At 37.9% G+C, this 15,940-nt stretch overlaps 1 protein-coding gene across 50 annotated transcripts in view; it reads right to left on the minus strand.

Annotated features, from left to right (window-relative positions):
• The window catches only part of HERC1 (HECT and RLD domain containing E3 ubiquitin protein ligase family member 1), a 225,331-nt gene that overhangs the window by 34,549 nt on the left and 174,842 nt on the right, over positions 1–15,940 (minus strand). For 23 of the 50 annotated variants that reach the window (XM_047433247.1, XM_047433234.1, XM_047433241.1 and 20 more), the window contains exons 48-58: positions 15,378–15,567; positions 12,922–13,192; positions 12,576–12,789; positions 10,953–11,209; positions 9,248–9,375; positions 8,087–8,214; positions 6,559–6,759; positions 4,903–5,033; positions 2,317–2,516; positions 1,826–1,931; positions 238–384 (exon numbers count right to left, since the gene is read on the minus strand). In XM_047433247.1, the coding sequence (XP_047289203.1) occupies positions 238–384; positions 1,826–1,931; positions 2,317–2,516; positions 4,903–5,033; positions 6,559–6,759; positions 8,087–8,214; positions 9,248–9,375; positions 10,953–11,209; positions 12,576–12,789; positions 12,922–13,192; positions 15,378–15,567 (1,973 nt within the window). The remainder of the gene's footprint in view (positions 1–237; positions 385–1,825; positions 1,932–2,316; positions 2,517–4,902; positions 5,034–6,558; positions 6,760–8,086; positions 8,215–9,247; positions 9,376–10,952; positions 11,210–12,575; positions 12,790–12,921; positions 13,193–15,377; positions 15,568–15,940) is intronic. The other 27 variants (XM_047433260.1, XM_047433258.1, XM_047433257.1 and 24 more) reach the window with 2 other exon arrangements.

Consider the following 15,940-nt stretch of genomic DNA (forward strand, 5'->3'; position numbering starts at 1 on the left):
CTAAATTCAGCAACGTCCAATCACATACCTACTACAAAATTTTCTAGGACACAGCTGATTTTAAAAACACTTATCATCAGTAAGAAAAATGTAAGGGCAGAGGATTCTGAAAGAAGTTTCCTCAGTATTCAAGAGATTACTATATAAAATGTTTCTACAATTGGTTAATTTTTATCACATGTGTTTAAGTTAGTGTCAAAATATTCCTTAACATAAAAATAAAATCTATGCTCTTACCCTTAAAGACCAAATGTTCATGAGCCCACCTAGTCCACCAGACACCAGGGCCAACCCATCAGAACTAAAGGCAACAGTCCGAACAGGAGTGATGTGTCCCCGCAGCTGATAAACACACTTGGCTCCTGATGATTTCCTATATCCATCCTGAAATTCATTATTTTTAACATGCATTAAAATAAAGATAAATTATATAAGTTCAAGATTTATCATTCACTCTTGGAAATTTTATATTTCAGAATAAAATTGGCAAGGGGGAGAGATAATTTCTCTCATAAAGGATAGTAAGCTTGACTGAATCAGTAATAAAATATCAATCTGATTCCCTTTGTTGAAGCTTTCATCTTTTTTAAAAAATATATTTCTAAACTAGTTTTCTACTCTTCAAACTACAGAAATAACATCTCAAAGTTCTAATTATCCCTCAGAGACAGGAAAATACTGACTACTTTTTAACCAGTGTTTTGATTTTTAAATTTTCACTTCATGTAATTTTCATTTTTATCCCCTAACATTTGTGAACTGCACATGCTGACTCTATATAAATAGATTCCTCTTTTTGTTGGCTAATGGTTCTGTCTGTCACACATTTGTTCTGCAAGCTTTAGAAGTGACATAGGTAAGGCCTGTCTATAGGGCTGCCCTCCAGCACAAAGAGTAAACCAGACCTATCTGTAGTACTCCCACCTCCACTGCTGTGATATTCTCCTATTAGTGAGTTGGCTACTCCTTCCCTCCCTCTCCACCCTTTCTCCCCATCCTTAAGCTCCTTCTTCCTTTTAGTTATGACAACATAATACTATATGTATTCACTACCCAAAGATGATGTAAAGTGTATTTCTTCCAAGGGTATCATGAGCAAAAGGAAGGCAACAGAATGTACAAACTGGTAGCTCAGAGATGCGATCTGACTGGCCACTCAGTGTTTTAAACAATTTTAAGTTAGGTGCCAATGTTTAATATTGGGAGATTTTACTTAAACATTGGATTCTTAGCATCTATAGAAAAAATAAAACAATCTGGTAACAACAGGCTCTTAATTCTAGAAACTGACAATCAGCTGTGTGCCTTTATATAAAGCATGTAAGCTTCTTTGTTTTTTTTTTCTGTTTTTGCTTTTTACCCTCTCCAAACCTTCTAACCCTAGCTTCATGAATTTATGTTACTCGCCTAGAGGGCTCTCTATAAATATATACATTTGTAACTTCTGTTTAATATAAATAAATCATTCTTCATAGCAAGGATTCTGGCATCAGTTGGAGATTCTTTGGATGGATGTGCTCCCATGGAGTTTCTATTTTAATGTACTAACAACTTATGACTCGTCTATCTGTAGTATCAATTATATCCACTATCACAGTAACAGTCACCACTTAATATGTATAGAATATCTCATTTTACCAAGCAATTATGGTATCTCTGATTTATAAAAAATTAAGCTAATTCAGGATGACAATTACTTATATTTCCCAATGGATCTTGCCCTTTGGGATATAGTAATGACTTTTTTAGTAACCAAGGGAGAATGACTCTGATGTCATATACTTTCCATAGTTTCAGACAGTCTTCAAAAACACCAGAATGTTACCTGGCAATTTGATTCCTGCTCCCACCATCCTTCTGCACTAGTCACATTGGTCTGTGTAGTATCTTGAGGAATGCGCCAAACACATACTAAGCCACTCTGACAGCCACTTAAAAAAATTGATCACATAAAACCAAAACATGTCAATATGCATTAAGTAAAAATATTTCCGAATTGCAATCAATTAAGATCTGATAGAACCACTGCATTATTTTTTAAACTTATTTGTAGTACATACAATCTTTTACAAGAAATACAACCGAGGCCAATATTCTAACAACATCACACCCAGAGATAAGGAGATTACATACCAAGTTTCACACTGGACAACTACTACTCTTTCTTTTCTCTGAGGTAATCTTATAATGTTACACATTATAAGAATAGCAACTGGCAATAAACTCTTTAAGACTACTGAGAAGCCACACTTAATGCAGATAACAGTCTATACCAATATAAAAACTAAGACGTATAGATGCAAATTGACAACATACGTAGCCATCAGTAACTGCAACTTGGATCCTTTCCCTGGAAGGCGGCACCAAGCAATGCCATTTACAATAGATGGATGGCAGAGTGAATGTAGACAGCACCAGCATCCCGAAATAGAGCCCCAGAGTTTCACACTGTCTTCTTTGGCACATGTCATAAGAATATGACCTGTAGGGTCCCACTTCATGCTAATAAGAGTATCCTTAAAATGGAAGGAAGAGAAAAAAAATCAGAGTAATGTTTCCTTCACAAATACTTTAAATTCAGTAATACATAACTTATATTTCTTAGCATCTATATTTCTATAACTCATTTATTTTGAAATCAATATTTTATGCAAATCAGATACTGCCATATCATTCCCAATCACTAGACCAACTTACCCTTTAATGTAGTCTGTGTTATATATATTTGCTGCAGTTAAAGCTCAACAAATGTTAGCAGGATAAATGAATTATGAAATTCTGACTCAAAAGGGATATGTTATCTCTCATTAGCATTTGTATTTATTAAGAGTTATCCTTATTGACTAATAATCATTACAGTATAAAAAAGAAGAGACTTAAAAAAATGCACCCCTTACATCCCAATAGCAAACACTAATGAGAATCTGGGATATGTTTTGTGTTTATATGGCTGTGATCATTGTGCTCTTCTGATTTTATTTTTATTTTTCAATCCTCTTCCACATCTTCTAACTCCTGGTTTCATGCATTTACGCTACTTGCCTAGATGGTCCTGTAAATATCTGAACTGGCAACCTCTGTTTAAGGTAAAAAAATCATTCTTCATGAACGGAATTTCTGACATTACTGGGAGCATTTGAACAGGAGGTATTACCAGGGTGTTCATAATTCACTGTTTTAGCTTTACTCTTTCATGGCTTATTTATTTTTACATAGACTTATCCATGTATATCCATGGTCCAAAGATTCTGTGCAACAACAGAACATTAAGTCATAAGTGACTGATGTAAAAAAATTTTAAAAGAAACTAGTATCAAGCAATAGTAGAGGCTAAAAAAAAAAAAAACCAAGAAGGCTGGGCACCGTGGCTCACGCCCGTAATCCAAACACTTTGGGAGGCCGAGGTGGGCGGATCATGAAGTCAGGAATTCGAGACCAGCCTGGCCAGCATGGTGAAACCCCGTCTCTAGTAAAAATACAAAAAAAAAAAAATTAGCCGGGAGTGGTGGCGGGCGCCTGTAATCCCAGCTACTCAGGAGGCTGAGGCAGGAAAATTGCTTGAACCCGGGAAGCAGAGGTTGCAGTGAGCTGAGATCGTGCCACTGTACTCCAGGCTGGGTGACAGAGCATGACTCCATCTCAGGAAAAAACAAACAAACAAACAAAAACAAAAACAAAACAAAACAAGAAAAAGCAACTATCTGGTAAAGATGCTTTTACCAGAATATATACAAATAGCCAACAGGCATATGAAAAAATGCTCAACATCACTAATCATCAGAGAAAAGCAAATTCAAACCACAATGAGCCATGCACGTTGGCTCACGCCTGTAATCCCAGCACTTTGGGAGGCTGAGGCAGGTGGATCACTTGAGGTCAGGAGTTCGAGACCAGCCTGACCAACATGGTGAAACCCTGTCTCTACTAAAAATATAAAAATTAGCCAGTTTGGTGGTGGGTGCCTGTAATCCCAGCTACTCAGGAGACTGAGGCAGAAGAATTGCTTGAACCTGGGGGTTGGAAATTGCAGTGAGCCAAGATCGCGCCACTGCACTCCAGCCTGGGCGAAAAAGCTAGACTCTGTCTAAAAAAATAAAAATTTACATTAAAAGAAAAAAAAAAACACAATGAGATATCATCTCACCCCAGTCAGGATGGTTATTATTAAAAAGACAAAAAACAACAGATGTCGGCAAGAAAGTGGTGAAAAGGGAACTCTTAAACACTGTTGGTTTGAATGTAAATTAGTACAAACTCTATAGAAAACAGTATGGGGATTTCTCAATGAACAAAAACCAGAACTACCATTTGATCCAGCAATCCCACTACTGAGTATCTACCCAAAGGAAAATAATTCATTTTCTCAAAAAGATGCCTGCACTCATACATTTATCACAACACCATTCACAATAGCAAAGATATGGAATCAACCTAAGTGTCCATCAATGGATGACTGGATAACGAAAACATGGTATATATAAACAATGGAATACTATGCAGCCATAAAAAGAATGAAATCAGGTATTTTAAGCAACATGGTTGGAACTGAAGCCCATTATCTTAAGTGAAATAAGTCAGACACAGAAAGGCAAATATTACATTTTTTTCACTTTTAAGTGGTTATTATTAAAAAGACAAAAAACAACAGATGTTGGCAAGAAAGTGGTGAAAAGGGAACTCACGTGTACACACGGGCCTAGAGTGTGGAATGATAGACAAGGGAGACTTGGAAGGTGAGGGCTGGGAGGAGGATGGATTATGAGAGATTACTTGATGGGTACAATGTATGTCATTTGGGTGATGGATATCTTAAAATCTCTGACTTCTCCACTGTGTAATCTATGCATGTAACAAAATTATATTTGTATCCCATAAAATTACGTTTTTTAAAGATGCATTTACCTTATGTGCATCAATTAGAACAATGCCTCCTTTCTCAAGTGGTTCCTTTGTTCCCAGTAACAGTTTTCCATCAAAATATCCCACTGCAAATGGTCTGTCTTCACTGAACCATGCAATGCAAGTAACAGACACTAACATGATCAAAACAAAAGAGTAAGGAAAAGATAATTATTTGTCATTGTCTGACTTAAAAGACAGAGACTTTGAAACAAATAATGATAATGCAACCATTGCAAGTAAATTTCCAAATAGCTCTTTAATGCATTTAGACAAAATGTAGGCGTACAGTGGGGATTCCATGTAACATACTTTTTAAAAGTGTCGCTTATCTGTGACAAGGGCTACCTACTTTATAATCTTTCATTCTTTTTCAGGTGGTTGTTGAAAAATAGAGACAAAAATTAAATTCCTTTGCTGATTGTAAGTCACCATAGGTTCTTTCCTTTTGGACCAAAATCTACCATGAAACTGAGAAGTGAAAGAACCCAAGTCATAGAAAGAAAATTACATCTCTTTTTTTGCTTATTTAATATTCCCTATTCAGTATGTTTCCATATTCTATCAAAATGTTCTGTTCTCACAATCTATATTTCTACTTGTTTCTTCAAGTATATGTAACACTGAAAGACTACAAAAGAAGTAAAAACAGTATCTGTGAGGGTAGAATGGGAGTGTGGGAACTGAGTAGACAGGAGAAAGACTTTTCACTGTATGCTTTTTAAAACTTGAATTTTTGAACCCTATGAAAGTATTACCTATTCTTAAACAAACAAAACAAACCTCTTCTGTTAATGGAATACCATGTAAGCAGGCACTATGACTTTGAATTACCCCACTTCCCCCAGACAACCAACAAAATCTTGTGAGATGCATTCACGTTCAAAGGAACACCACAGTAAGAAGAAAGCAGACTTCCTAATCTCTCTTGTCAGACCAGGAATTCCCTGCTTCCCCTTCCTCCATTACTTCAATTTTACTCATTTTTTAAAAGACAATTTCATCTCGGCCAGGCACGGTGGCTCACGCCTGTAATCCCAGGACTTTGGGAGGCCAAGGTGGGCGGATCACAAGGTGAGGAGATCGAGACCATCCTGGCCAACATGGTGAAACCCTGTCTCTACTAAAAATACAAAAATTAGCTGGGCGTGGTGGCGAGTGCCTGTAATCCCAGCTACTTGGGAGGCTGAGGCAGGAGAATAGCTTGAACCAGGGAGTCAGAGGTTGCAGTGAGCCGAGATCGCGCCACTGCACTTCAGCCTGGTGACAGAGCGAGACTCCTTCTCAAAACAAAACAAAACAAAACACACACAAAAAAAACAATTTCATCTCTACCAATGATTATGACCTTTTTTTCTCTTGGACAGTCCTAACTTTCAAAGGAGACTTGGAATCTGCTATAAATATTAAGCCACACAAAAGATGAATTACTAATGTTATAATACTATTAAATCTCATTTTGACAGAGATGTGTGGTGGGGGCTAGGAGATAAATATCTTTCAATTCAGTAACTAATTAAAATTAAAACATGACTGGAAAATTTTGAAAACAAAGCCAAGATAATATTCACTTGGTATTTTTAAAAGCAAATGCCAAAAAGCTAAGTCTAGAAAGGAAGTTGGAGACTCCGTCAGCTAGACGTAAGTGCAGTCATTTACCATCCTTTCGATAGCAATGCTCCAATTCTCGACGGTGCATGGTGGACACATCAACAACTTCAATCAGTCCCAGAGATCCATCCATCCGTCCCACCAACAACAATTCTGGAGACTCTCCTGACCAGGCTGTAGCCGGACCCTCTTCTGGCCAAGCCAGGGCAGATACCCAATGAGGCTGAATATCTACTAATCCTTTTCCTCCTAAAAGGGAAAAAATGTTAACTAGTTTTTACTTAATTCTTAAAAAGAAAAAAAGGAACAGAAACAAATACTACTTAATTCTAATACACACTCAAAGCAGTTCCAAATTTCATAATAGCCTACTAATGAATAAGACCATGAAGGCAGGATCCTTCATTTATAATACTATATATGATCATAAAATTAAAGTTTTTCAGCCGGGCACAGTGGCTCATGCCTGTAATCCTAGCACTTTGGGAGGCCAAGACGGGCGGATCACCTGAGGTCAGGAATTCGAGACCAGCCTAGTCAACATGGTGAAACCTCTTCTCTACTAAAACTACACAAAAAATTGGCCAGGCATGGTGGCACGCGCCTGTAGTCCCAGCTACCTGGGAGATGGAGGCTGCAGTGAGCCGAGATCACGCCACTGCACTCCAGCCTGAATGACAGAGCAAGACTCCGTCTCAAAATAAATAAATAAATAAATAAAATTAATGTTTTTCTGTAACCTTTTTTTTTTTTTTGAAAGAGGGTCTTGCTGTGTTGCCCAGGTTGGAGTGAGTACAATGGCATGATCATGGCTCACTGAAGCCTCAAACTCCCAGGCCCAAGCAATCCTTGAGCCTCAGCTTCCTGAGTCCCTGAGGTTCCAGGCATATGTCACCACGCCTGGCTGTCTGTAACTATTAATAGGGCAAAATGGTAGCGTTATAGAAGAGAGTGTAAAGAAAAACACTGAATGTACAAATGTACAAATGTCAAGCACTTAAGTCCTTTCTCAACAATTACTGATAACCAAATTGGCATAAGAAACTTACTTGCAGTTAAGGCTAGCTATTCCTCAAATGTCACACAGAAGTTATTCCTCAAATATGTGACACAGAACACCTATTCCTCAAATATGTAAAAACAAATGAAAATACTAATAAGCTCGATATTACAATAATTATTTTTACTTTCCAGAGAGGTATAATAAAAACTGACAAGAATTTATACCTGCAAAATAAACATAATAGAAATATTTCAAGCAATTCAAAAGAATACATAGCTTAAAATTCAGTGACAACTACATCTCCCCAAACCCTACTCTGAATACTTAGTGGTACAAGAAAAAAAATTTAAGTTTATAACTACTAGGTTAGTTGAAAGTCCCAGAAAGAAAAGTGAATAAATGAGCACTTCCTCTCTAATTTGAAGCACACAGTGCATAGATTGAAATTTCAGAGTTGTTGGAAGGCTTGTGAATTTCAAGGTGAAGAGAAACCACTGTTTGGACTCAGAAGACTAAGAAGAAGGCTTTAAAAAACTACTTTCAGCAGTTTACTAGTGTTTACATGACTCTTACCATTAACTTGCCAGATATTCACCATCTTTTCCAAAGCGCCTGCTAGATATTTGCCACTGATACTCCAGGAAACTGGTGAGAAACTTGGATCACTGGGTGATCCCAGGCTTTCCTCAGCATCCCCTTCCCTAGAATATAACAGACAGATATGCAGTTCTAATCCCCATCATTCAAAAGTAAATTAAATCCCAAACCTTAAAATAAGGGTTTCATATAGACTAGAGTGTATAACTGATTCTTCTGTTTCAAAACCTTGGCTAGCAGTATTTAACAGTTACACACTCATTAATGTTTGTCATCATGTGAAAAATGAATTATAAAAGAGTGATATTAGACTTTTCCTCATTTAATGTAGTACACAACTTGTCAATAAAGACATTCAAATTCTGTATGTGTTGTACAGATGGTTATTATTCAGAAGACATTGATTCTTATTTGCCTAAACTCTTGGGAATACTTCAGAAAAGAAATAGCTACAGCTGGCTATAAAACTATTAAAAATGCGGCTGGGCGTAGTGGCTCACATCTGTAATCCCAGCATTTGGGAGGCTGGGGCAGGCAGATCAGAAGGTCAGGAGTTTGAGACCAGCCTGGCCAACATAGTGAAACCCTGTCTCTACTAATAATACAAAAATTAGCCGGGCATGGTGGCAGGCACCTGTAGTCCCAGCTTCTTGGGAAGAGAAGGCAGCAGAATCACTTGAACCCAGGAGGCAGAGGTTGTGGTGAGCTGAGATTGCACCACTGCACTCTAGCCTAGGCAGCAGAGCGAGACTCAGTCTCAAAAAAGAAAAAAACAAAACAAAACAAAAAAAACTGTTGAAAATGCTACATTCTGATACGGAAGCAATATAATTACTCTAATTCCTAAACAACTCTTAAAGACCTATAGCAAATTAGCCTACTGTTTTACATAGTTGAACATTTATTTACTAGTAGATCTTGATTTAATTCTAAGTCCAGATACAGATGATTTAAAATTATGTTTTCTGAATTGTTATCCTGGAAAGTTAAAAATACACACTGAAAATACAGTAATACTAATCTAAAAGAAAATTTCAAAAAATTTTAGTGACAATATGATTACATTAACACAACCAAGATGAGGCATGTTTAGGATTCTCTTATTTTAAATGGTATACACGTGATGTTAGCACTCACAATCTGTTGAACACACAGGTCTGTTGCAGTGAATATTGCTTCTTGGTAACATTCCATACGCGGATGGTGCCATCATTGCCACTTGTAGCCAAAAGACCTTTTTTATTACACCAAACACATGTCATTACCTAGAAAAGTTGAAACAGGTAGTCTAATAATTTTCTATTCAAATGATTTTATTATTTGAAAAAGTTGTATCCAATTTTTAAAAATCTACCATGAAATTAAAAGAAAAGCATCCATTCCTTTCTTTTCTTGAGATGAAGTCTTGCTCTGTTGCCCAGACTGGAGTGCAGTGGCTCAATCTCAGCTCACTGCAACCTCCATCTCCCGTGTTTAAGCAATTTTCATGCCTCAGCCTCCAAACAGCTGGATTACAGGCACGTGCCACCACAACTGGATAATTTTTGTATTTTTAGTAGAGATAGGTTTCGCCATGATGGCCAGGCTGGTCTCGAATGCCTGGCCTCAAGTGATCCGCCCACCTCAGCCTCTCAAAATTCTGGGATTACAGGCATAAGCCACCACACCCAGCCTCCATTCTTTTCTAAATGGCTTGCAAATATATTTGAAGCTATACTTATTTGAAGTATAGCTTTAAGGTACTATGCACTAATGCATTTGAATTATCTGAGACCTATTATAATCTTTACTAAATATGTTTACTTAATAAGTACTTTAACATTTTATGTTCTATAAAATAAATAACACAGACTAAGAAGTAATTTTAAAAATTGTTTAAGTAGGCCAGGTGCAGTGGCTCACACCTGTAATCCCAGCACTGTGGGAGGCCAAGGCAGGCGGATCACCTGAGGTCAGGAGTTTGAGACCAGCCTGGCCAACATGGAAAAACCCTGTCTCCACTAAAAATACAAAAAAATTAGCCGAGTGTGGTGGTGTACATCTGTAATCCCAGCTATGCGGGAGGCTGAGGCAGGAGAATCACTTGAACCCGGGAGGCGGGGACTACAGTGAGCCGAGATCTCACCACTGTACTTCAGTCTGGGTGAGACTCCGTTAAAAAAAAACTGTTTAAGTAATACAATTCAATCTTCATTTCTTGTTACAGCTCAGAGACCCCATGGGTTAGATTAAAATAGTGAGGCCAATTTCTTTTCCTTTTGCGTGTTGTCCTTCAGTATCTGTGGGTGATTGGTTCCATGATTCCCTGCCCCAAATTTGCAGATAGATTCCTTATAAAAATGGGGTAGTATCTGCATAGAACATATATATATCCTCCCATGTAATTTAAATCATCTCATGATTACTTTAAATACCTAACAGAATGTAAATACTATGTAAACAGTTATACTGTACTTTTCATTTGTATTATTTTTTATTATTGGATCATTATTTTTTACCCCAATATTTTCCATTGGTAGTTGGTTGAATCAATGGATGCAGAACCCACGGATACAGAGGATCAAATGCATAAGTCTTCATCTTTTGTGAAGCTATTCCTTTGGTTTTCTTCTCATCCCCCATCCAATTCTCCAATTCGTATACTATTATATCAAACCAGCATACAGAGAAAGTAGAGTTGGTAACTGCCAGGAACATCTTTGTAATTGTGTGCATGTGTATGTGTACGTGTGAAAGAGAGTGACACAAAGAGAGAGACCTAAACTTTGAGCTCCTTGAGAAGAGAAGAGACTATTTCATCTTACATAACGTGATTAACACACTTTCCACTCAAAATACTTACTCTGTTCTGATGAGCCTCCAATTTGATAAAGGAGCATTTTCTAAGATCTCCTCCCATATCAGCAAGTGTCTGCAGAGTAGTTTGGTTGTCACGGTCGTGTGCAGCAAGAGTGCGCACGAGTTGCTGAGCTGCCCATTGCCGATGCTGTGAGGACAGCCTGGAGGAGAGGCAGCAGGCTGCCAGGGCATTAGCCAACTCCAGAGGGCCTACAGCAGAAGGATCATAGGAAGGATGGGCATACAATTGGGCAATTAAACCTGCTTAAACAAAACATGAAATGATGCTCAGGTGAGATTTGGTGGTGGTGAACAAGCAAATGGGTTAACCCATATCTTTTAAGAATTGGCACTTTTGCAAGCAATTATTTCACTAAAATATGCACACAAGAAATAAAGCATTTATCTCACATCAAATTCTGTAAGAAATCTGATTCATTAAAAATATACATTTTAGGCCAGGCATGGTGGCTCACGCCTGTAATCCCAGTGCTTTGGGAGGCCAAGGTGGGAGGATCACCTGAGGTCAGGAGTTCGAGACCAGCCTGGCCAACATGGTGAAACCCCCATCTCTACTGAAAATACAAAAAAAAAAAAAATTAGCCACACCATGGTATGGTGGCACGTGCCTATAATCCCAGCTACTCGGGAGGCTGAGGCAGGAGAATTGCTTCAAGCTGGGAGACGGAGGTTGCGGTGAGCCGAGACTGCGCCACTGTACTCCAGCCTGGGTGACACAGCAAGACTCCATCTCAAAAAAAAAAAAAATTTATTATACAACAATCAATAGTCTTTGCTCCAAGGACTCAGTAGACTAAGAAAGCAGCAGAAATAATTTTAAAACCAGGATGGAGATGGCATGCCTTTAAGAAAACAGTTTGGCTTTTGTTGCTCAAAAGTGATGGTGTGACTGTAACCAGTCAAGGAACTGGGCTGATAGATCCAAAAGCCAGTATCGGCTGGGTGTGGTGGCTCATGCCTGTAATCTGAGGACTTTGGGAGGTCGAGGTGGGAGGATCACACGAGGCCAGGAGTTCAAGACAAGCCTGGCCAACATGGCGAAACCCCATCTCTACTAAAAATAGAAAAATTAGCCGGGCATGGTGGCATGTGCCTGTAATCCCAGCTACTTGGGAGGCTGAGGCAGGAGAATCACTTGAGCCCAGGAGGTGGAGGTTGTACTGAGCCAAGATTGTGCCACTGCACTCCAGTTTGGGTGACAGAGTGAGACTCTGTCTCAAAAAGAAACAAAAAACAAAAGCCAGTTATCTCTTGGCTAAATGGTCCTGATGAAGAGAAAGGCAGTACTGATAAGTAGTCCCTTCAAAGTGTTATAATCTTAAAACAAAGAGAAAAATAACACTGCCTTCATCTAAATTTTATTAAAGAAACCTACCAGGATTATTATCTATGGTTAACTCAAATCATAATCTATAACTAAACTAATATGGTACATTTTCTAATCTTTGTTTCCATACACAGTGAAAAAGTATCTATGCACTTCTTTTATGTTCTAAACTTAAGAAACTCACGTCATATAATTTATCATATACTAACAATGTAAAAACATTATTTAAAAATAAGAAGTCGATTAGAAGACTGTATGTTTCAGTAGTATGAAACTTACCTTTCTTTTCAACTTCTGACTTATCATAGTTAGGTCTTAGTTTGGCCCCTTTGTCTGCTAGCAATGCCACAAGGGCCTGTGTTACAACAAAGTTTGGGGAGGTCACAAGCTTGTTCTCTTCAGCAATTCCTCGGAGAAAGCTGGGTAGAAACTTTCGCTGAATTGAGTCATCAACTGTGGTTAGATTTACACCTGTTGCAGCAGAAATCAAGTTCTGAAGAAGCAATTGGAAAAACAGACTTAATTTTTACATGTAATTTTGGAACAAAAATATTTCATTTCAAAAGGCTCAAGAATCAGTCAGAAATAATCAATGTAACGGGGAAAAGTACTGAAAGTAGCTTACCTGTGTACACAACTGTACAAGCAGTTTGGCAGCACTAGGAGCATTTGATGCCAGACATCCCACTGCTGTGCTCAAATAGGCCAGGCAAGAGATAGGCTTGTTAGCCTTGCTATGCCCACCTCGTGATCGTTCTGAGGTGCTAGCCATGGCAGAAGGGCTGGTGGAGAGGCCAGCTCTCCCTGCTGCTGCCAAGCACATTAATCGAACTAGCGTTCGGATATCTGTTAGCCCCAGAGACTCAAGACCAGCAGCCAGGCTACAACTGGAACCACTGCCAGTAAAGAAAAACATCTCAGATGGATAAAGAAAATGGATTTCTTAAGGGACCATTTGCAGTCCCACATAACATTCACAGCATCAACAACCATAATAAAATGTAAGCTGCACTATCATTAGCCATACATGTCCTAAGAGTTGCCAAAGGTATCAAGCTGGAAACTGGCATCTAAACGTTCTCTCCTTTTAATAAGTATTGGCATATACTTGAAGTACAATTGAACTGACAAAGTAAAACAGGAATGTTCACAAAGCATAAATTTTCATAAGCTGAACAAACCCATGTCACCGCCCTCCAGATCAAGAAACAGAACATTGCCAGTACCTCAGAAACCTGCTTTGGGCTTTTCTCAGTCACGATGCTCTCAGAAGTAACCACTATCCTGACTTCTAAAGCTACAAGTTAGTTTTGCCTGTTTTTGAACTTTACATCAATTGAATAATTAATATATGTACTCTTTTGTGTCTGGCTTCTTCAATATTATGTTTGTAAGATTCATCCAAATCTTGTAGCATTGAGCAGTTCGTTTTCATTGACATATACATGAAATCTGCCACAGTTCATTTATCCCTACAGATGACAATCAGGCGGTTTCCAACATGGGGCTATTATGAATAGTACTACCATGAATGATTGGTCTTTAGGGGGCACATATTTAAGTATTTCTGTTGGATATATACCCAGAAGTGGATCTCTGGGTCACAGAGTATGTTCCTGTTCAGTTTTAGTTGATACTATCGAACAGTTTTCCAAAGTGGTTATACCAATTCATTTTCTCACTAACAATGTATGGGAGTTTTAGCTGTTTCAGTCACTTTTTTCTCTCTAGTGTTTTAAATGTTTGCCATTCTTGTGGGTGTGCAATGGTATCTCATTGGTGGGTTTTTTGTCTTAGGTTTTTTTTTTTTTTTTTTTGAGACAGGGTCTCACTATGTTTCCCAGGCTGGTCTCAAACTCCTGGCTCAAGGGTTCTTCCCGTCTTGGCCTCCCAATCACACTGGATTTTAATTTTCATTTCTCTGAAGACTCACTGAGGTTGAACATCTTTTCATGTTTATTGGCCATTTGGAGATCCTCTTTTGTGAAACACTTCTTAATGTGTTTTGTCCACTTTCTTCTGGGTTGTCTTTTTCTTGTTAATTTATAGGAATTCTTTACACATTCTGTTGGTTAGATGCATTACTAATATCTTCTCCCATTCTATGGCTTGCTTTTTTACTTTCTTACTTTTCAAATCACTTTTGCTAAACAGAGGTTTTCTATTTTATTGTATTCCAATTTATCAATCTTTTATGGCAGATTCCTTTTGTGACTTGCTTGAGGAATTTTTGCTTGTCCCAAGACCAAGAAGCAATTCTTCTATGTTACCTTCAATAAACTTTATTGATTTATTTTTCTTTTATATTTAGATCTAATAGCCACTTTATAACTATTTGCTTTATATAGTTTGAGGTTGGGACCAAGGCTTTTTTTTTCTATGTGGATAAACCATCAGACCCTGCTTCAGTTACTGAAAAAAACAGCCTTTCTCTATTGCTCTACAGTGTGAACCACTGTCATAAATCAAACCATAAATCAAGTGTTTATTTATATGTATGGGTCAGTTTCTTAACTCTCTTCTGTACTATCCTATTTGCCTATCCTTGAGCCAATAGCACACAGTCTTATGGAAATTTTGTTTTTCTTTCAGGATCTTTCTGCCTTCACTGATTTGCCATTAAATACTCCTGCTTAATCACTTCTTAAACAGCTGTCTTTTAGGTATTTCTGGTTCTCATCCCCTTTTTACATTACACTCCACAGTATCAACACGGCAAGGATCCCCATGATGGCATCTGCAGGCTGACTTAGCTACACAGACGGTCAATACATTTTGACCTTTAGTTTTTGATCCAGCACCATTGGGATCAACAGCCTTAGTTTCCCATTTCAAGCAACAAAATAAAATGTATGCAGTTTACTCAGTTGTGATAATGGCATTATTTTCTACCTAAAAAGAGCCAAGTATTAACTGAATGACCGATTGAGTGAATAACAATGACTACGTCTAACATCTTTCATTCAACAGTACATATTCAAGCTTCTAAAATTCTATCTCACCCTCCCAAACACCACCAGACTTCCAGCTAATGTACACTAGAAGTTAACTTAGCATCATGTGACATAAAATAACACTTACCTGACTGAGAGAAGAGACAGCGCTCTCATGACCATGGTTCTGGCCAGAAGAACCTGAGCAGCAGCAGTCACTCTCCTTAAAGCCACCACACGGTCATGAGGGTTTGCTAGGGCAGCTGCCTGCTCTCCTAACGTTATTCTCCCAGAGGAGCTCTTTTCTACGGAGCCATGGCAACCTGAAAAACATAATTCTGTTTTGTTCTCAACAAGGTAAGAAAAAAATACATCTGAACTACTAAAAACATTTCCTATTCTACAGAGGTTCCATAACAAACCAATGTCTTTTGCTCATCTGGAACTTGGTTATACAGAAAATTTCTTAGGAGAAACTCACATATTTCTAAGTTTGAACTTGGATATTTCTAACTTAGATATTTCTATGTTAACAATGTATTTACCATAGGAGTATTTATACTTAATTTACCAGTAAGTATTTTCTGTTTTGTTCATTTTGCCCATGTATCACATCTACTGATTATAAGTGCTTTGAGAATTTATAAAGGACTGAATTACCAATACTGCCCAATTCTTTATTTTGTATTCCCTATACCAAAAATTTACCAC

This window comes from Homo sapiens, chromosome 15 (genome assembly GCF_000001405.40).
Source record: "Homo sapiens chromosome 15, GRCh38.p14 Primary Assembly".
Taxonomy (NCBI): Eukaryota; Metazoa; Chordata; class Mammalia; order Primates; family Hominidae; genus Homo; species Homo sapiens.